Here is a 22103-nt window from a genome sequence, read left to right as displayed (position 1 = left end):
TTAAAGCTCTAATTTAAGCTCTCTGCTGCCTCATGACTTCAATTCCATCAGAGTTATGCATTGTTTCCTCTGTACATCTTTGCTCTGCTTCCATTGCTAATTCCCTAGTAAAGTGTTGTATATTCAAAGTTCCAAAGAAACAGAATATCCAAGACATCACCAATCATCCAAAACACAGTGTAGGAGGCCACAGTTAAGAGAAGCAAGACCATTAGCTCTTTTTATAGGCTCGAGAACAACAGGATGCTTTGGTCCTGTATCAGCAGGACGCTTTTCGGGTAGATCCTACTGCCACCCTAGCTATGGGCACATGTCAGAGTCCCATGTAATAAAGGAGACAAAAGGAAACCACCACGAGTATAAACTAAGAAAAGTACTCCAAGGTTTCTAAGGATGGAGCTGTATAACTCACTTTGCCCCATTTGTTACTTCTCCACGGTACTTACCACCACCTATTACATATATTTTGTTTATAGTCAGTCTTCCCTCATTACAATGAAAGTTCCGTGAGGATAGGACTAGACAGTCAGCCCTCAGTATCCATGGAGGACTAGTTTCAGGATCTCCTGAGGATAACAAAGGATACTCAAGTCCCTGATATAAAATGACATAGTATTTGCACATCACCTTTGCACATCCTCCCATATACTTCATATCAACTCTAGATCACTCATAATATCCGATGTAAATGTCATGCAAATAGTTATTGTACTATATTGTGTAAGGAATAAGGACAAGAAAAAAGTCTGTACATGTTCAGTACAGACGCAATTTTTTTTCCCAATATTTCCAATCTTTGGTTGGCTTAACAGATGTAGAACCCAGGAATAAGTTCTGGTGTCCTATTGCATAGTAGGATGAGTATAGTTAACAATAACATATTATATATTTGAAAATAGCCAGAAGAGTAGATTTTGAATTTTCTCCCTACAGAAAAATCATTATGCAAATTACCCTGATTTGATCATTACACATTGAGTACATGTATTAAAACATCACATTGTACCCCATATATATGTACAATTATTATGTGTCAATAAAAATTTAATGTCAATATGTGAAATAAAATGAAAAAATAAAAATTTTTAAAGCTGTAATTATCTCCATCTGGTAGGAATATATATAATCTGAAATAAAAAATATATTTGTAATTGTTAGGACAAAATAGATTATACATTAAGTCTGCAAATTATAAATTATAAAATTCTCACAGAAACTGAAAAATTATTGATACTGTTAAATATTTAAAAAGCTGTCCTTGGAGAGAAAGAAACCTATCAGATTTACATCAACAAGTGTAATATATCAGCCTATTACCATCTGCTACAGACTGCATGATTGTGTTCCCTCAAAATTCATATGATAGGCCAGGCGCGGTGGCTCATGCCTGTAATCCCAGCACTTTGGGAGGCCGAGGTGGGTGGATCACGAGGTCAGGAGATCGAGATCATCCTGGCTAACATGGTAAAACCCCGTCTCTACTAAAAATACAAAAAAATTAGCCGGGCGCAGTGGCGGGCGCCTTAGTCCCAGCTACTGAGGAGGCTGACGCAGGAGAATGGCGTGAACCCAGGAGGCGGAGCTTGTAGAGAGCCGAGATTGTGCCACTGCACTCCAGCCTGGGTGACAGACAGAGCGAGACTCTGTCTCAAAAAAAAAAAAAAAAAAAAAAAAAAAAATTCATATGATAAAGCCCTAACCCCCAAGGTGAGGATACTGGGAGGCGTGGCCTTTAGGAGAGAATTACGTTTAGATGAGGTCATGAGAATAGAGCCCCTATGGTGGCATTACTTCCTTTATAAGAAGAGACACTAGAGCTGCTTTTCTCCCTACCATGTGAGGATACTGAGAGAAGATGGCCATTTCCAATCTAGGAAGCAGGCCCTCTTTAAGAAACGTAATTTGCCAACACTTTGATCTTGCACTTCCAGTCTCCACAACTGTGAGAAATATCTGTTTTTTTTGTTTGTTTGTTTTTGTTTTTTTTTTGAGACAGAGTCTCATTCTGTCATCCAGGCTGGAGTACAGTGGTGCGATCATGGCTCACTGCAACCTCCGCCTCCCAGGTTCAAGCAATTCTCCCACCTCAGCCTCCCAAGTAGCTCAGACTACAGGCGTGCACCACCATGCCCAGCTAATTTTCGTAGAGACAAGGTTTTGCCATGCTGCCCAGGCTAGTCTCAAACTCCTGAGCTCAAGTTATCCACCTGCCTCGGCCTCCCAAAGTGTTAGGAATACAGGCATAAGCCACCACGCCGGGTCAAAATATCTACTGTTTAAGCTACCTAATTTATGGTATTCTGTTTTAGCAGCTGAAGCAGACTAAGATACCATCCTATAAGCTACAGACCAGCACTATCCAATAGAACTTTATATGACGAGGAAATGTTTTATATCTGTGCTATCCCTTATGTTAGCCACTAGTCACATGTATCCATCAAGTATTTGAAATATGGCTAGTGCAACTAAAGAACTTAATTTTTAATTTTTTTTTTTTTTTTTTTTTTTTGAGATGGAGTCTCGCTCTGTCCCCCAGGCTGGAGTGCAGTGGCGCCATCTCGGCTCACTGCAAACTCTGCCTCCCAGGTTCACGCCATTCTCCTGCCTCAGCCTCCTGAGTAGCTGGGACTGCAGGCGCCCGCCACCACGCCTGGCTAATTTTTTGTATTTTTAATAGAGATGAGATCTCACCGTCTTAGTAAGGATGGTCTCGATCTCCTGACCTCATGATCTGCCCGCCTCGGCCTCCCAAAGTGCTGGGATTACAGGCGTGAGCCACCACGCCTGGCCAATTTTTATTTTATCGTATTTATATAACCATATGTGGCTAGTGGCTAATGTATTGAACACTACAGCTGTAGACAATATGAAATAAATATAAAGCAGTCTCAACTTTGGAAAAACAGAAGACTCTTACTGCCTCATAATATGGATGAAAAATGAAATACTAAGATAAGTAAAATGTTCTTTAAAGAACAAAAACAAAAGAAAACCTAATGAAAGCTATAAAAGTCCATTGGATAATAATGCTACCAGCACTAAGGAAGTACAGCCCCTAAAAGTGACTTGCAGTCACAAATATAAAAATGACTATTCAAGTGAACTCTTAAGGTAAAAATTTGTTATTCACCATGCTCCAAAATGGTCTGTAATATTCTTCAGAGATGGCATGGTAAAGTACGATACAAGGGTAATATTAACAGTATGCTGTCACAGGTGCCATTCTCCTAAAAAAGAAATCCCAAAATAAATATAAATGGAAAGCAAATAATTAAATACACTAAATACAGATTATTACAAAAATCCATAAGGAATTCTGGTGGAGAAACAACTTAATAATCAAAATCCCAAATATAAAATTTATCTATCAAAAATGAAAATGCTGACAGTTTCTTGCAAAAAAATTTTTATAAATTTTTTTAATATAAATAAATAAGAACATCTTTTTAAACAAAATCTTAGGCTGTTGAGTCCCGTTTATTTTCTACACCTCTAATTCCAAAGCTGAGAAACAAATGGATACTTCAGAAAAGAAAATAAATAACTCATGACAATTTGTCTTTTGGACACAGAATATAAAGGAAAAATAAAATTTATGTCTATCTGGCCAGACCTCAATTGAATTTTTCATCCTAGCTGGTTCCTAAATCCAAATCAGATACTTATCAATAAAACTGTTTTTCTGCACAGCTACTACTAGCTAGAAACCGCTTCTCCAAATTTATACTGACCATTTCTTCTAAAATATTGAAATTCTAGCTGATAGTTTTTAAAAAACCATTCCTAATGTACTGATTCCAGAGTACTAATTCCAATGGCCAAGAAAATTCTAAAAGATTTGGAGTGGTCTCTGAGATTAGAATGTGTGACAATGTGAAGCATTTCACTACAATGTCCAAGATTAAAGTGTCAAAGCAGATGAGGAAATGAAGCTCCCAAAACAGATGCCCATGAGAAAGGAGCCCAGAAAAGCAAAAGGGGCCACAGCCCAGGACCTTACAATAAAGAAAAGTGGCTCTGGCCCCACGGTATCCTTCCTGAAACACTGGGAAAAATTGAAGTCCTCAGCAAAATTCTGACCAGGATCCCAAATTTAAATGTAAGCTTGTAAGGAAAACACCTATGGACTTGTGTTTAATTTGTCCATCTAAGATATAAAATTACAAGTTTGACCAAATGTGCCAGTTGTCCACTTATTGTCTCTCAGCTCCGAATTCAACCTTTCATGTCTGCTCTGCAGAAATGAACTTGGACCCTTTAAACATTTTTCCTTTGCTAGCTGGCATGATGTTAGATTGACATTGTAAGAGGAGATTTTCCTCTTCTTTCCAAGAGTCTTGTGTGCTCCTCTTGGCAGGCTTCTGTACTGCAACACAGCTTCTCCAGTGTCCAGATCCAGAACCCATGCAGTTTGCTCCATTGTCAGGCCCCTGAAGTGCACAGCAGTCAGCAGCACCGAGTATCTTCCACCAGTACCTCCACAAGGCAGTATTATAGCAGAGTGATTCTGATGAGACAGATTTCTACCACAGCAACTTCTCTTCATTCAGTGAGCGACAGCCATGCCCCCTCAAACAGAGTCTGGATCTTAATCCCAGAGGCCCTGGACGTTGTATCTCAACCCCAGGGGTTGATGCTCCTTTTATCTGTTATTCTTATATTCCTTAGAGTTCTCTTTACTTTTTACTAGCCAATCCTTATTGCTCCAAAACCCTGTTATAGCTAGCAATTCTTCGTATTAATCTTTCCTTGTTCAAATTACATGTGATTTCTCTATTCTAATCAAACACTGACTGACACATCAAATTTCAGGCAATTAATCAAACTGAGAAAATTATAGGGCATTATGTCTAATTTGTTATTTTATATATTAGCAAACACATAAGATCTGATAATCAGAAAGTTCAGAGCGCTAAACCAAAGTCTCTAAAGAAACAATGGAAGGAATCAGTAACGGTCTTTGCTTTGACTTATTATTGTCTATTGGTTAGAATCTAACACAGCCATGTGAGGGTCCCTGGTATTATAACACACACAACACTGACAGCAATGCCCATGAATCTTATCTGGTGTTGACACAAAGGAACAATGCCCCGTGGACTTGGAAAGGACCGCAGCGCAAGCATCAGGGTGTCCTTGTATGACTGAATGACCTTCTTCCAAGGCTTCTGCGACCTCTTTCTGCACTCTGTCCCCATGCTGCTGCAGCCTCACTGTCTTGCTGGCTGTCTCATTGCATTAGAGAAATACATCTTTGACATATGCTCTGTATGTGTTTCTATGAAAGTCATATTTTTAACTTTTTAAAAATGATACTTGGACAGAAATTTGGCAAATATATATCAAGGTTCTCAAGTGAATATCTCTTCTCTGCAACAGGAATGTCGCTTCTAGAAATTTTCCCTCTGAATAGAATTAGATAGAAGTTGAGGCCAGGAGTGGTGGCTCATGCCTGTAATCCCAGCACTTTGGGAGGCCAAGGTGGGCGGATCATGAGGTCAGGAGATCGAGACTATCCTGGCTAACATGGTGAAACCCCGTCTCTACTAAAAACACAAAAAAAATTAGCCAGGTGTGGTGGCGGGCGCCTGTAATCCCAGCTACTCAGGAGGCTGAGGCAGGAGAATGGTGTGAACCTGGGAGGCGGAGCTTGCAGTGAGCCGAGATCATGCCACTGCACTCCAGCCTGGGCGACAGAGCAAGACTCTGTCTCAAAAAAAAAAAAAAAAAAAAAAAAAAAAAAGAAGTGAAGAGACATCAGCAAGGAAGTTCAGGTGGCTTTGTCTTACAATGATAGTTTAAAAAAAAATGCCATTGGTTCTCAACCTAGGGTGATTTTGTCCTCCAGGGGACATTTGGCAATGTCTAGTGACAGTGTTGATTACCACAGCTAAGGGGAAGGGATGTTTCTGGCATCCAGTGGGCAGAGACCAGAATGTGAAGCCACATCCTGCAGTGTCCAGGGCAGTGTCTCTGAAAAGGATGGGCTAACCCAAACTGCCCATGGTACCGAGGCTGAGAAACCCTCACTTAACGTACCACTCTAGGGATTAGGAGGAATAAATTAAAGTGGAATGTTTCACAACCATTTTAATTATGATTAAAAAAAAAACTATGATATTGTCCATGTATATTCATGTTTAAGAGTTATTGTTAGGTAAAAAAATTATAAAATTATATTTGTGGTGTTCATATGATCAGAAAAAATACATTAATTAAAATTTCATATGTAAAGAATATTACATCTTTCATGTTTTCCATAGAATGAATACATTTTTGTATGTATGTGTATATACACAGAGAGGGAGAAAGACAAAGTAGCACATAAATAAAAATACATACATTTTATTACCTATTACAGTATTTATTCTTCTACACACTTCTCAGTTCATGTATATACGGCAGCTTTCTTACGTCCTGCACGGATGCCTGAGGTTCCACCACTAAGGAGTCTTGTCTCTAAGTGAAGAAGTCATTAAAGCTGTTTATGTAAAGCCTGTGTCTTGGAGACAGGGCGTTATCTCTTTATCAGTCACATGCATTGGATATGAAATTGCCGATTGGATTGGCTGGCATGCCTGTCACTCAGCACCGCCCTGGGACCAGACAGCTTTGGTGACCGAGCTGGAGAGGGGCTCCAGAGCTGGACTGACCCTGAGAAGGCTCCACCTCAGAGCAGCACAGGGAGGAGATGAGGCCCCACTGGTTTCCCTGGGGCCAGGCCTCATGTCAAATTGCAGAAACAGCCTGAGGACAGAGCCATGGAGAGCCAAGGAGAGGGCAGGCTTGTCCATTCCAACTTCCATCTCTGCCTCTGACCCACATCTGTGGAATCAGGGCGGTGAACCAGAAGCCTCTGGAGTTTCTCAGTGCTCTGATCCCGTGAATTCCTCCTCTGTCCCCGCGATTTCACAATGAATGGATGCTTCCCATTCTCACCAAGTGCCTGTTGAAACTTTCCTCAGCCTGACAACTTTCTTCTGTTACTTTCAAATGATCACAGGCTCCCAGGAGGAAAGTTTAGGTAAACCTCTCTTCAAGTGCTGCATCCCAGAAGTCCCAAAGAACTGTCTACCTATGAGGCGCTCTCAGGACCCGGGACGTGTGATCACGGTATCTGGGGATCAGCCAGCGCTGCGCCCTGGGGAGGAGGTGGCGCCGGGTTACTGGCTCCGGGCTGCGTCCCCTCGTCTGGGTCTGTGCTGTTCCTGCACTTCATAACGTAATTTTCCTCTTATTCCTTAAGGCTCAACAAGTCTTCTACTGCTCTCAGTCACTTTATCCTGGGAGTCGGATGTTTGCCTGGTTTTTTAGTGCAGGTGAATACCTACCCAAAATTGCTATGTGATTTTCAAAATGCTAAATTCCGTAGATTCTTTGAGACCAGTGACTTTCACTCTTTCAATCCATTTCCATTGGGTTGAACTGTGAAGTATCATGGGGAGAGAAAAGGACACCTTTGTAAACAGCAAAAAAAAAAAAAAAAAAAAAAAACAAAACAAAACAAGAAAAACCTCCACAATGTCTTGAACTTCACAGACTTGTGCAAGGTTGGAGCCAGTGTTCTTAACCCTGGCACTATTGATGTTTTAGGCTGGACAATTCTTTGTGGTCAGAGACTGTCCTCCCTGTGGAAGAGTATTTAGCAACGTCCCTAGGCTATACCTACCAGATGCCTGTAGCTCTGCCCTTAACCCCCACTACAGGGTGAAAAGTCAAAAATGTAAAAATGTCATATCTAGGGCAACACAGGGATCCATGTGCCCCGTTGAGCCTTCACTGTGAAGGTGCAGAAGGAGCCCAGAGCTCGTCTCTCTTCTGTGGAGATGGATGCCTCCTCTTGGTGGCCTGCAAGAATGTGGTTGATCCCAGACCATACGTCTGAAGAGTCATCAGTCCCATTGAGCAGCAGACCATAGCTGGGATGGTTTATAAAAACTGGTCCAGTACATGCATGCAAGTGTTACAAGTGATCATGTTTGTGGTAGAAATTGTGATAATTAGGAATGATAATATGTTCTTTGTATTCATTCATGCAACCTAAATTGTCTATGTTTATTCGTTTAGTAATTTTTTAAAAGCTCAAGAAATGGAAGAAATGAGAGAGATGTTTCATGTACTCTTAGGTGATGTGGCCAACACACCCTAAGGTCACCCCTCCCCGGTGATCTATGTTTTGGATAATCCACTCCCCTGAGCATAAAGGGGCTTGTGACATAATTCTAGATAATAGAATACAGCAAATGTGATGGTTACATCTGATGTGAGATTCTGCCTTAGCAAGTGGGGGCAAGAGAGACTCCCTCTTGCTGACTTGTGTAAGAAGGGCTGCCGTCCGTCCTATAGGAAGGACTGTGAGAGGCCATGTGGCAGGAACCATGGCAGCCCCTGGATGCTGAGAGTGGTCCCCCGCTGATAGGTTTGGCTGTGTCTCCACCCAAATCTCATCTTGAATTGTAGCTCCCATATTTCCCACATGTTGTGGGAACTGGTGGAAGATAATTGATTCACGGGGGCAGTTTCCCCCATACTGTTCTCATGGTAGTGAATAAGTCTCATGAGATCTGATGGTTTTATAAGGGGAAACCCCTTTTGCTTGGCTCTCATTCTCTCTTGCCTGCTGCCATGTAAGGTGGGCCTTTTGCCTTCCACCATGATGGTGAGGCCTCCCCAGCCACATGGAACTGTGAGTCCATTAAATCTCTTTTTTTTTTTTAAATAAAGTACCCAGTCTCAGGTATGTCTTGATCACTAGTGTGAAAATAGACTAATACACCAGCTGACTACCCCCCAAAAACAGGAACTTCAGTCCTACAACCACCAACAACCTGAGAGAGCCTCTGACAGGACCACAGCCCTGATTGAGCCCTGATTGTAGCCTGCTGAGACTCAGAGTGGAGGCCACAGCTGGTCTATGCCTGAACTTCTGACCTACTGAGAGCGGAGGTAACTGGTGTGTGATGTTTCGAGTCACTAGGCTGTGGTCATTTGTTATGCAGCCGCAGGTAACAAACACAGACAGCTTCCCTCTCCTTTGAAAACACATCAGCCAAATGCCTTTCATTATTGCAGCCACCTCTAGGCTAAGAGAATGTGAACCCTTGAGTATTCAGTATCTGCCAGATCAGAACTTACAGGATATTGAGTGGGACATGCAGCCTGGAAGAGCTGGAAGCTGACCTGCCTTCCCACTCTGCCGCTCTGCCTTGATGGACTCCTATGGACACAAGCCAATGCCACACAGCACCAACACTGGACAGGGACACACTGTGATGGTGGGGGCGGGGGCAAGGCAAATCAATACCCCTCTGTAATCTGGCCTGGTCACAAACAAAAACAAGAACGTGGTCAATACCACAAATACGCCTAGGCAGCCCCCACCCCGGCTTATGTGAGCAGCTGCTGCTTTTACATCAATTGTAGCACCAGCCTCATTCCATTTCTCCCACCTTCCAGGACAATTAAGACATTCAACCACAGAATTACTCCCATTTCCAGACAGCACTCCATCTGAGCATGGCCTGTGTATCAGTCAGGGTTCTCTAAACGGACAGAACTAATAGGATAGATGTATATATGAAGGTGAGTTTATCAGGAGAATTGGCTCACATGATCACAAGGGGAAGTCTCACAATAGGCCGACTGCAAGCTGAGGAGCCAAGAAGCCAGTCTGAGTCCCAAACTTCAAAGGTAGGGAGGCTCACAGTGCAGCCTTCAGTCTGCGGCTAGAGGCCTGGGAGCCCCTGGCAAACCAATGGTGTAAGTCCAAGAGTCCAAAAAAAAAAAAAAAAAAAAAAAAAGCTGAAGAACTTGGAGTCTGACATTCGAGGGCAGGAAGCATCCAGCATGGGAGAAAGATGAAGGCTGGAACACTCAGCAAGTCTGCTCATTCCAACTTCTGCCTGCTTTATTTTAGCTGCTGTGGCAGCTGATTAGATGATGCCCACCCAGATTGAGGGTGGGTGTGCCTCTCCCAGTCCACTGATTAAAATGTTAATCTCCTTTGGCCACACTCTCACATATACACCCAGTAACAATCCTTTGCATCCTTCAATCCAATCAAGTTGACACTCAATATTAACCATCACAGCCTGTTTCCTTGACCCTCCCTAAGATCACCTTGTATAAGCCAAACCCTCCGAGTCTTTCCCAAGGCCCTTTCACTGCTGCTGCTGAGCTGCTGCTGGGTCCCAGTGGTGCACAGCCTTCCTTGTTGTGATGAGCCAGTTGATGGCCTCAACTTTGCTGGGCTACAGGTGTGTTCCTGGTGGCCTTTAGACGACATCATTGACAAGATTATGACCAAGATAATTTTGACGCATCCTAGTTTCAGCTTAAAATTTGGGAAAACATTCATTTAAAAATAACCCATACCAAGGTTTTCACAAAATACAATCAAAATCAGGGCATATTAGTAGGTAGCTCATATGTGTACCTGCTCGGTATGTGCTGTTGTCATTGATGTCTGGAATGAAGTAATGAATTAGAAAGTCTTCAAACGCCAAAGAATGATTTAATGAACTATATTTACATAGTGTATATAACACATATAACATAATTACTTTTTCCTAAAGGTAAGAAATTATAATTGTGCATTTTAGAAAGATTTGGTTAAAAGAGGAGGAGGTATGAGGATTTTATCATGATTCCCAATTTCACAAGCATTTCTGTAAATTAGGAGCCTACTGTACTACCTAGAAATGGTGAATGGGTTTTTAACTTCAATTCCATCCATCACATCCCATCTAAATGCTCTGAGGTGGTAACAACAAACTGTGTCCTAGATCTTCTTCAAGCTGAAATGCTTTGGGATGATCGCATGTTCCAACAATGCCCCCTGGAGGCCAGTTGGCCAGGGCCAGTGGACACTTGTCCCCACAGAAGCAGGTCTGTGCCACTTCTCAGCTGTCAGGATTTGGATTTCCACCCTGATCCAGCTGCTGAACTGTCCCTACCACGTGTCCCTCACCCACTACCAGCCAGTGACTCCTACCTCATGCAATTTCCGGTGCTCACCTCTTGCTGTCCCCCACCTGGCCCTATCGTAAGTTTGTGTCCATGTTGCATTCAGTGCATGAGACACTGAGAGTGGTCCCCAGCTGACAGCCACCCATGATTCATTGACAGAAGAGAAAGGGGACACAGGGAAGAAATCTGTTACACCAGCGAGACAGAAGCCGCCCCTTTACAAAGGTGCATGGTGGGAAAGGCAGAGACATTCCAGCTGTACTGCAAAAAGACCACATTTTGAAAGATGGTTTCAAGGCCAGGCATGGTGGCTTATGCCTGTAATTCCAGCACTTTGGGAGGCCGAGGCAGGTGGATCACGAGGTCAGGAGTTCGAGGCCAGCCTGGGCAACATGGTGAAACCCCATCTCTACTAAAAATGCACAAATTAGCCGGGCGTGGTGGCAGGTGCCTGTAGTCCCAGCTTACTCTGGAGGCTGAGGCAGGAGAATGGCATGAACCCGGGAGGCAGAACCTGCAGTGAGTGGAGATGGCGCCACTGCACTCCAGCCTGGGCAACAGAGCAAGACTCCGTCTCAAAAAAAAAAAAAAAAAAAAAAAGAAAATAATGGGCCTGAAGCCAGGCGTGATGGTTAACACCTGTAATCCTTGCACTTTGAGAGGCCGAGGCGGGTGGCTTGCATGAGCTCAGGAGTTCGAGAGCAGCCTGGGCAATATGGTGAAACCCTGTCTCTACTAAAATACAAAAAATTAGCCAGGTGTGGCGGTGTGCACCTGTAGTCCCAGCTACTCAGGACACTGAGGCAGGAGAATCGCTTGAACCCGGAAGGTAAAAAAAAAAAAAAAAAAAAAAAAAAAAAAAAAAAGAATGGGCCTGCTTAGCTCCTAGTTCACCCTGTTTTTTCAGCCAATTCCTCCAGACCTCGGGGGGTGGCAGCAGCATTTGTACTCTAGGCTCATCTTCTCCCTCAGGTCTTACAGTCAATTATATTACTAATCAGGAAAAGATATTGAGGCTGCCTACTCAGCTGCCATTTCCCTCTTTTTTACTATTATTTTTTTTAATAGACACGGGGTCTCACTATGTTGCCCAGGCTGGTCTTGAACTCCTGGGCTCAAGCAATCCTCCTGCCTCAAGATTTACAAATGTGAGCCACCACACCATGCCAGTCCTCCCTCTTTTTCCCTTAGTTTTTCTTTTTTTTTTTTTTTTTTGAAGAAGAGAAAAAAGTAACAGATTTATTTAATCCAAGTTTTATGTGACACAGGAGCCTTTGGACAAGAAGACCCAAAGACCCAGGGAAAACTGTCTATTTTTATGCTCAGGTTCAGTGAAGAATGGACAGGCATGTAAAAAGGTATCGGACAAAAAGGGAATGACCTGATGTCATAGACTGAGGGGGACACCCAGAAAGGCCTGTCCAGCCAGATTCTTCCTGGCCTCTCCGTGCTGCATTTCTTCCTCCAGGGTATAGGGCAGAACCCCTCCGGAATGAGGGTCTTATGACCCACAGTCAGATAAGGTAGGTCAGAGACTTTCTTTATGGCCAGCGCTTACACAGAAAGGCTGGGGAAAGTTCGAGTACTAGTTCTGGATTTTATGATTGGCTTTGGGAAAGAGCGGTTCTTAGTTACTATGACCCACCTTGGGGAAGAGGAGTTCTGGTTTTTTTTTTTTTTTTTAATTTTTTTTTTTAATTATACTTTAAGTTTTAGGGTACATGTGCACATTGTGCAGGTTAGTTACATATGTATACATGTGCCATGCTGGTGCGCTGCACCCACTAACGTGTCATCTAGCATTAGGTATATCTCCCAATGCTATCCCTCCCCCCTCCCCCGACCCCACCACAGTCCCCCAGAGTGTGATATTCCCCTTCCTGTGTCCATGTGATCTCATTGTTCAATTCCCACCTATGAGTGAGAATATGCGGTGTTTGGTTTTTTGTTCTTGCGATAGTTTACTGAGAATGATGGTTTCCAATTTCATCCATGTCCCTACAAAGGACATGAACTCATCATTTTTTATGGCTGCATAGTATTCCATGGTGTATATGTGCCACATTTTCTTAATCCAGTCTATCATTGTTGGACATTTGGGCTTTTTGTTTTTGTTTTGAGACAGAGTCTCACTCTGTCGCCAGGTGTCAGTGCAGTGGCACAATCTCAGCTCACTGCAACCTTCACCTCCTAGGTTCAAGCAATTCTCCTGCCTAAGCCTCCCGAGCAGCTGGGATTATAGACGCCAGTCACCATGCCCACCTAATTTTTGTATTTTTAGTAGAGATGGGGTTTCACCATGTTGGCCAGGCTGGTCTCCAACTCCTGGCCTCAAGCAATCCACCTGCCTCAGCCTCACAAAGTGTACTAGGATTACAGACATGAGCCACTGTCCCCAGCCTAGTATAACACTTCTAAAAAAAAAAAAAGTCTGTATTTCAGCTGGGCGCGGTGGCTCACGCCTGTAATCCCAACACTTTGGGAGGCTGCGGCAGGCAGATCACGAGGTCAGGAGTTCGAGACCGGCCTGGCCAGCATGGTGAAACCCCGTCTCTACTAGAAATACAACAAATTATCCGGGCATGGTGGTGCACGCCTGTAATCCCAGCTACTCAGGGGGCTGAGGAAGAATTCCTTGAACCTGGGAGGCGGAGGTTGCAGTGAGCTGAGATCGTCCCACTGCACTCTAGCCTAGGCGACAGAGAGAGACTCTGTCTCAAGAAAGAGAAAAAAAATCTGTATTTCATATGTCCTACACATACTTATAGCTTTCAAGAACATAAAAAACATTAAAAAAAATTTGTACCATTATCATTTCCAGACCCTTCACAGCACATATTTTATCGGGGTTTTATAGTAATTCATCCTTTCCACTAGTGCACTTAGCAACCAAGACAGCTCATACCCCCACATACAGACAAACTTGCTATTAAAAGGGTCAAAGTCTTAGTTTCCTCAAGTGTACTATGAATACCCAGGGAAAGACTCCAATACCAAGCATGAGATAAATAATGCCCATATGAGAATTTTCAACTTTTAAAGAAAAGTAAGTCAAACTGTCTCACGGTAGGAAACTAGGGTTCCCGCAACCCGTTCTCTCTCTCTTCAATTTCATAATTTGCTAGGAGAGCTCACAGGGAATCACTTTTAATTCCACAGTCTAAATGTAATCTAATTGCCAAGTCTGGAAGAACACTAAAAAAAAAAAAAAATCTCTTATGAGTAACTTCCCATATAATGATGAATACTACTTCCATAAATTATTCCAATGTTATTTTCTATTTACATGCTAAAGCTAAGTAGATCTTTCAAAGAGATAATCAATTTAGATTCATGTGTTTAGATCAGAGGTAGAAACTGCAGTCCAAAGATGTAATAGTAAATCAAGAAAGTTCAATAATTTGTCCACAAAAATCAAAGGAGATCATAGTCTTGAGACAATTTTTCAATAATTTAAAAATTTAATAACTCCCTAAGTTCCTCTTAGGTAAAATGTATACATGCTTTACTAAGAAAAATTGCAAGAATTTAAAATAATATTTATAAAGTACTTTGCTGTTTATAAGCTACTACACCCAAAATCTTAATCTCTTCAAGAAACGTCCAAGGTAGATGATACACACACAACAGGGTTATGAAGGATCAGAAATTGGAAAACCCATCCAATGTTCCTCATCTAGTAGACTGTGGGGCTGGGCCTTAAACCTAGGTCCCCCAATTCCAAATCCCAAGCTCTTTCCAACAGATTGTGCCCATTTTTTTTTTTTTAGACAGAGTTTTGCTCTCGTCGCCCAGGCTGGAGTGCAATGGCACGATCTAGGCTCACTGCAACCTCCGCCTCCCAGGTTCAAGCGATTCTCCTGCCTCAGCCTCCCGAGTAACTGGGACTACAGGTGCCCGCCACCCACACCGGGTTAATTTTTGTATCTTTAGTAGAGACAGGGTTTCATCACGTTGGCCAGGCTGATCTCAAACTCCTGATCTCAGGTGACCCACCAACCTCAGGCTCCCAAAGTGCTGGGATTACAGGCGTGAGCCACCGTGCCCAGCCCAGATTGTGCCATTTTAAAACATTCTCCAAAGCAGCAAGATTTCATTTTTTAACAAGACAGTATTACAGGTCTAAATTCAATTTAATATTCTCAAAATATTTCTGAGAACCTATTTTACAAAGTAAAGTACTAGGGGCTATAAAACTTACATACCCACAAATATATACATCTACTATGTACCCACAAAAATTGAAAATAAAAAAATTAAAAATAAAAAGCTTCACTTTGGGAGGTTGAGGCAGGCGGATCACTTGACTTCAAGAGTTTGAGATCAGCCTGGCCAACATGGTGAAACCCTGTCTCTACAAAAAATACAAAAGTTAGTCAGGTGATGGTGGCACATACCTATAATCCCAGCTACTGGGGAGGCTGAGGCAGGAGAATTGCTTGAACCAGGAGGCAGAGGTTGCAGTGAGCCTAGATTGCACCATTGCCCTCCAGCCTGGGCAACTCAAAAAAATAAATAAGTAAATAACAACAAAAAGCTGACATAGCCAAATAAGACAATCCTTGTTCAAAACATGTTGTATTATATGCTTAAAATGGTAAATACAAGGTACCTATACTGTGATAGTACAAACATTCACTAAATTGTTTAAAACATTTGTAAATGCCTCAGATAGCATGTCTTTGTCTACTGTTTGAGGATATTAAAATTGTTTCTTGATGTGATGATACTGTGGTATAATATGAAATATATTTGGCCAGGTGCGGTGGCTCACTCCTGTAATCCTAGCACTTTGGGAGGCTGAGGGGGGCGGATCATGAGGGCAGGAGATCGAGACCATCCTGGCTAACAGGGTGAAACCCTGTCTCTACTAAAAATACAAAAAAAAAAAAAAAAAAAAATTAGCCAGGCATGGTGCCCGGTGCCTATAGTCCCAGCTACTCAGGAGGCTGAGACAGGAGAATGGCGTGCACCCGGGAGGCAGAGCTTGCAGTGAATCGAGATCACACCACTGCACTCCAGTCTGGGCGACAGAGTGAGACTCTGTCTCAAAAAAATATATATATATTTGGTCTTTGTTTCAGGTTCCTGCCACAGAGCTTCTGAAATACTTGGAATTTCCTGAGTGATAGGAGCTGTCTTTTGTTATTCATTAGAAGCCCCTTTGGATCCCACCTAAGTTTATGCTATTGAAGTGACTTAGTGTGGGATCCCTAGGCCTCAGGATGGGACTGCTGCTCACTAAAAAAACTGACAGGTTAGATAATTGGAACTTTCATCCCCACCCACCAATCTCTGGGGAAGCTGGAAATTAAGATCTATAGAAATTTTTTTTTTTTTTTTTTGAGACAGGCTCTTGCTTTTTTACTCAGGCTGTGATGCAGTGGCATGATCATAGCTCACTGCAGCCTCAACCTCTGGGCTCAAGTGACCCTCTCATCTCAGCCTCCCAAGTAGTTGGGACTACAGGTGTGCACCGCCATGCCCAGCTAATTTTTATAAGATTTTTTGAATGGGATCTCACTGTGTTAGCCCAGGTTTGTCTCAAACTCCTGGGCTCAAGTGATCCTCCTACCTTGGTCCCCCAAATTGCTGGGATTATAGGTGTGAGCCACTGCACCCAGCCTAGACACTCCTGAACCACTAGATGTGATTAGCTTCAGGGTAGTTGAACACAGGGGGATGCTGGGGAGTTGGTGCACCCAGAGAGGGCACAGAAGCTCTGCACCTCTCCCACCGCATACCTTGCCCAATGCATTACTTCATCTGGCTGTTCATCTGTATCATTTATAATATTCTTTATAATAAACTGTTAAACATAAGTAAAGTGTTTCCCTGTGAGCCGACCTAGCTAATTATCAAAGCAAAAAGAGTGGTCATGGGAACCCTGATTTATAGCCAGTAGATTAGAAGCACTGGTCACAACCTGTGAATTGAGATTAGTGTCTGAGTGAAGGCAGTCTTGTGGTAGTCTCCAGGCAGACGGTGTCAGAATTAAGGTGAGTTACCGGATACCCAGTTGGAGAACTGGTTGATGTGTGGGGGAAAACTCCTACATATCTGGTGTCAGAAATAAAGTACTGGTTCACACCTGTAATCCTAGCACTTTGGGAGGCCGAGGCAGGCGGATCACCTGAGCTCACAAGTTCGAAACCAGCCTGGCCAACATGGCGAAACCCCGTCTCCACTAAAAATACAAAAAATTTAGCCAGGCGTGGTGGTGGTCACCTGTAATCCCAGCTACTCAGGAGGCTGAGGCAAGAGAATCACTTGAACCCAAGGGGCGGAGGTCACAGTGAGCTGAGATCGCGCCATTGCACTCCAGCCTGGGTGACAGAGCAGGCCTCCGTCTCAAATAAAACAAATAATGAAGGGTTTTTTCAAAAAATAGTACATGTAGATGGCTTTCTATTCACCACAAAAAAGTTTTCTTCCAAAGACTGAAAATATTTTTTGTCAGGTACACTGCCAAATACTGGATATTGCTGCTGTACAACATTTTATTTTTTATTTCAGTTATTTTGTTTTATACTTTATATTTTATTTTATCTTATTTTATTTTAAGATGGAGTTTTGCCCTTGTCGCCCATTTTATTTTATTTTATTTTATTTATTTTGAGATGGAGTTTTGCTCTTGACGCCCAGGCTGGAGTGCAATGGTGCAATCTCAGCTCACCACAACCTCTGCCTCCCAGGTACAAGCGATTCTCCTGCCTCAGCCTCCCTAGTAGCTGGGATTACAGGTGCCCACCATCACACCCGGATAGTTTTTCTATTTTCAGTCAAGACGTGGTTTCACCATGTTGGCCAGGCTGGTCTCGAACTCCTGACCTTAGGTGATTCACCCACCTCAGCCTCCCAAAATGCTGGGATTACAGGCATGAGCCACTACAACTGGCCCATTGTTGGTTTTAAAATGATAAATTGGGCTGGGTGCGGTGGCTCACACCTGTAATCCCAGCACTTTAGGAGGCAGGCAGATCACAAGATCAAGAGATCAAGACCATCCTGGCCAACATGGTGAAACCCCATCTCTACTAAAAATACAAAAATTAGCTGGGCGTGGTGGCATACACCTGTCGTCCCAGCTACTTGGGGGGCTGAGGCAGGAAAATTGCTTGAATCGGGGAGGTAGAAGTTGCAGTGAGCTAAGATCGCACCCCTGCACTCCAGCCCAGCAATAAAGCGAGACTCCATCTCAAAAAAAAAAAAAAAAAAACCCAAAAAACAAAAAGCAGGGCACGGTGGTTCACGTTTGTAATCCCAGCACTTTGGGAGTCCAAGGTAGGCAGATCACAAGGTCAGGAGTTCAAAACCAGCCTGGCCAACACAGTGAAACCCCATCTCTACTAAAAATACAAAAAATTAGCCGGGCATGGTGGCATGTGCCTGTAGTCCCAGCTATTCGGGAGGCAGAGGCAGGAGAATCGCTTCAACTGGGGAGGTGGAGGCTGCAGTGAGCCGAGATCATGCCATTGCACTCCAGCCTGGGCAACAGGGCGAGACTCCATCTCAAAAAAAAAAAAAAAACCAACAGTGACAAGTAGCATAACAACATTCTTTTTTTTCTTTGTTCTCTGAGATGGAATTTCACTCTTGTCCCCCAGGCTGGAGTGCAATGGGGGGATATCAGCTCACTGCAACCTCCGCCTCCCGACTTCAACCGAAGCTACTGCCTCAGCCGCACGACTAGCTGGGATTACAGGCCCCTGTACCATGCCCAACTAATTATTGTATTTTTAGTTGAGATGGGGTTTCACCATGTTGGCCAGGCTGGTCTCAAACTTCTGACCTCAGGTGATCTGCCTGCCTTGGCCTCCCTAAGTGCTGGGATTACAGGCGTGAGCCACGGCGCCCAGCCAACATTCTTTTCTCTTTTTTAATATACTTACATGAGGTATACATAGTACTTAAACCAATAAAACGACAAATATCTGAACTTCTTACCCAGTGTTTTGCAACTTCTTTCCACAGCTGTTCTTCGAGTTTGTTCAAACATTGCTTCCAAGTCAAATGTGCGAGCTTTTTTACCTAAAAGATGAACAAATGGGAGACTGTGATTGTCTTGCAGTAAGCTGGCCAAACTTTAGGCGATCAATACTGATCAATAAACACTTACTTTGTCTAGTTTATAGCATGGCTCCAATATAACCATAAAATATCAGAGAAGGAGTTTGAGTCACAGAAAACTTCTGATGACAATCCCTTCACTAAGTACTATTAACCAGGCAACTTTCCCATCCTCCTCTAGATCCCTACCCTATGAAACAACAACACTAATGTGGGAGGCAGAATGGAGAATGTCCCAAAAGTTACCCTTTGCAAATGTAATTAAGGTTATGGACTTTTAAATAGGGAAACTATCCTAGCTGGCCCTTAAAGGCAAAGATGCACAACAGCTATGGCGGAAGAAGTCAGAGAGATCCAACGTTTGAGAAGAATTTGAGGCGTTATAGTTGGCTTGAAGACGAAAGGGGCAACATGAGAAGTAATGCAGGTACTTTAAGGAGCTAAGAGGGAAACAGAAATCTCAGCCCTATAACAAGGAACTGTTGAGCATGGAAACATTCTCCTCCTCCCCCAGTAACTTTATCAAAACTCTTAAAATTTTCCCCTATTTGGCACAAACATATGGACACCTTTCTCACTCCTGAGTAAAGGAATGATGTACTAAAATGAAGGATTTATACCGGGTGGGGTGGCTCATGCCTGTAATCACTTTGAGAGGCTCAGGTGGGCGGATTGCTTGAGCTCAGGAGATCGATCAGCCTGGGCAACATGGTGAAACCTCGTCTCTACCAAAAGTATAAAAAATTAGCCAGGTGTGGTGGCACATATCTGTGGTCCCAGCTACTCAGGAGACTAAGGTGGGAGGATGGCTTAAGCCTGGGAGGAGGAGGCTGCAGTGAGCCAAGATCGCACTAGTACACTCCAGCCTGGGTGACAGAGCGAGCCTCCATCTCAAAAAATAAAAAAATAGAAAAGGCTGGGCGCGGTGACTCACGCCTGTAATCCCAGCACTTTCGGAGGCCGAGACAGGCGGATCACGAGGTCAGGAGATCGAGATCATCCTGGCTAACACGGTGAAACCCCATCTCTACTAAAAATACAAAAAAAATTAGCCAGGCGAGGTGGCGGGCGCCTGTAGTCCCAGCTACTCGGGAGGCTGAGGCGGGAAAATCGCGTGAATCCAGGAGGCAGAGCTCGCAGTGAGCCGAGATCTTGCCACTGCACTCCAGCCTGGGCGACTGAGCGAGACTCCGTCTCCCAAAAAAAAAAAATGAATAGAAAAACTACAGAACTAGTATGTGTGAACAGAACCCAAGGCCAATATGTGTAAGTCTACTGTTTAATTACTATCATAGAATTAATACACGCTGGTCAAAAGAGAACAAGAAGACCTTGAGAAAAGGTTCAAGGAAGTTAGAATCCCAATGTTTGGATGAACAGCATTTATAATTTTAAAATGCAAAATAAAAAGAAATCATTTTTCATGTATCAGTCTACTAAAGTTTTGTTTTCATTTTTAAAATAATTTTCTTTTTAAATAATAATACCTACTCTGTGTTGGTACGGATATGGTAAAAATGGCATTCTTAAATTCTGTTAACTTTGGTATAACCTGAAACAAGTTTTTTGATGGGTATTACGGCAGTAAGCATCAAGAAGCTTTAAAAGGCACATACCCAATTTTTCAGCTTTTTAAGTATTTATACTTCTGAATAAACTAGGCTCTCTTTTAGAAATCTACCCTACAGAATTACATATTTTTAAAAATCCTCGTACAAATGCTGTTATTTACAAAAATGTTCATTTTAGCATTATTGGTGACTTAAAATTAGAAAAATCCTTTCTCTTCCTTTCTCTCCAGGACTCTCATAACTGTCACCTGAGTTGGTTCCAACGGATACGCAGAATAGAAGACAAATGGGAGAAGAATATTGACAAACTGCAAGGTATGCACCCGAGCTACAGTAATTCCGAGTTGACAGCTCGATCTCCCCTCCCACTCTGCGGCTCTTCAAACCTCTGCAAAAGGAAGAGGGTCTCTGCCTGGGGCAGTCACTCACCGAACCCCGTGAAGCCCATGGTGACCGCAAGCTGCGGGTCCGGTCCCGATGCGTCTGAGCCTGTCACTGGAGCAAGAAAAGAGAGGCGGCCTAGTTAGTGCGGCGCCCCAGCTCCCCCGACACGGCCCACCCCGCCAGGACTCGCTTCATGAAACCCACCTTCGCTGGGCCCAGAGCGCTCCATGGCTGGCCGCACGCCGCAGAACCAGCCACAGAGACAGCCCAAACTGCAGGGGAACTTGCCAATAACTCGCGGCAAATGCTGGAGGAAGTACCGCCTCCAAGCTACAGCGGCGCCGCCGAAGCCAAGAGCGGCGCCTTCCGCAGAGGGACTGCGGCTTTCTGCGCGGCGCCCCCTACCGGACAGGCGGGAAAGCGCCGCGCAACTCAGACCACTGAAGGGGAGTAGTATCTGGAGTTTCTGTAACATCCTTTCCCTTTTTTTTTTTTTTAAGCCAGAGCCTCTGTCGCCCAGGCTGCAGTACAGTGGCGTAATCTCAGCTCACTGCAACCTCTGCCTCCCGGGATCAAGCGATTCTCCTTCCTCAGCCTCCCGAGTAGCTGGGATTACAGGTGCCCGCCGGCTAATTTTTGTTTTTGTTTGTTTTTGTTTTTGTTTTGAAACGGAGTCTCTGTCGCCCAGGCTGGAGTGCAACGGTGTGATCTCGGCTCACTGCAACCTCCGCCTCCCGGGTTCAAGCGATTCTTCTGTCTCGGCCTCCCAAGTAGCTGGGATTACAGGCGTCCACCACCACGCGCAGCTAATTTTTTGTATTTTTAGTAGACACGAGGTTTTGCCATGTTGGCCAGGCTGGTTTCGAACTCCTGGCCTCAAGTGATCCGCCTGCCTCGGCCTCCCAAAGTGCTGGGATTACAGGCGACACCCTTTGCTTTTTTTTTTTTTTTTTTTTTTTTTTTTGAGGCGGAGTATCACTCTGTTGCCCAGGCTGGAGTGCAATGGCGTGATCTCGGCTCACTGCAACCTCTGCCTCCCAGTTTCAAGAGTTTCTTCTGCCTCAGCCTCCCAAGTAGCTGGCACTGCAGACACGCACCACCACACCCAGG

The 22103-nt window shown here is 43.7% G+C and overlaps 1 pseudogene across 3 annotated transcripts in view, besides 1 other annotated feature; it reads right to left on the bottom strand.

Moving 5' to 3' along the window:
• The window catches only part of GUSBP1 (GUSB pseudogene 1), a 129860-nt pseudogene extending 108591 nt beyond the window's left edge, over nt 1–21269 (bottom strand). For 2 of the 3 annotated variants that reach the window (NR_027026.2, NR_027028.3), the window contains exons 1-3: nt 21198–21269; nt 21039–21104; nt 18916–18999 (exon numbers count right to left, since the gene is read on the bottom strand). The product of NR_027026.2 is annotated as a GUSB pseudogene 1, transcript variant 1 (transcript). Of the gene's footprint in view, nt 1–6318; nt 7426–9180; nt 9321–10119; nt 10273–18915; nt 19000–21038; nt 21105–21197 lie in introns of those variants that run through there. The other variant, NR_027027.2, reaches the window with a different exon arrangement.
• Nucleotides 8622–9275: an enhancer, noted in NCBI's record as "OCT4-NANOG hESC enhancer chr5:21471616-21472269 (GRCh37/hg19 assembly coordinates)". NCBI's record gives its function as "activates a minimal SCP1, AML or CMV promoter by ChIP-STARR-seq in naive H9 embryonic stem cells {active_cell/tissue: H9 hESC(naive)}" and the evidence as "EXISTENCE:reporter gene assay evidence [ECO:0000049][PMID:30033119]".
• Nucleotides 21270–22103: the final 834 nt, after the last annotated feature.

Source organism: Homo sapiens, chromosome 5 (assembly GCF_000001405.40).
Source record: "Homo sapiens chromosome 5, GRCh38.p14 Primary Assembly".
NCBI lineage: Eukaryota > Metazoa > Chordata > Mammalia > Primates > Hominidae > Homo > Homo sapiens.
This window is presented reverse-complemented; position numbering and strand designations above follow the sequence as displayed.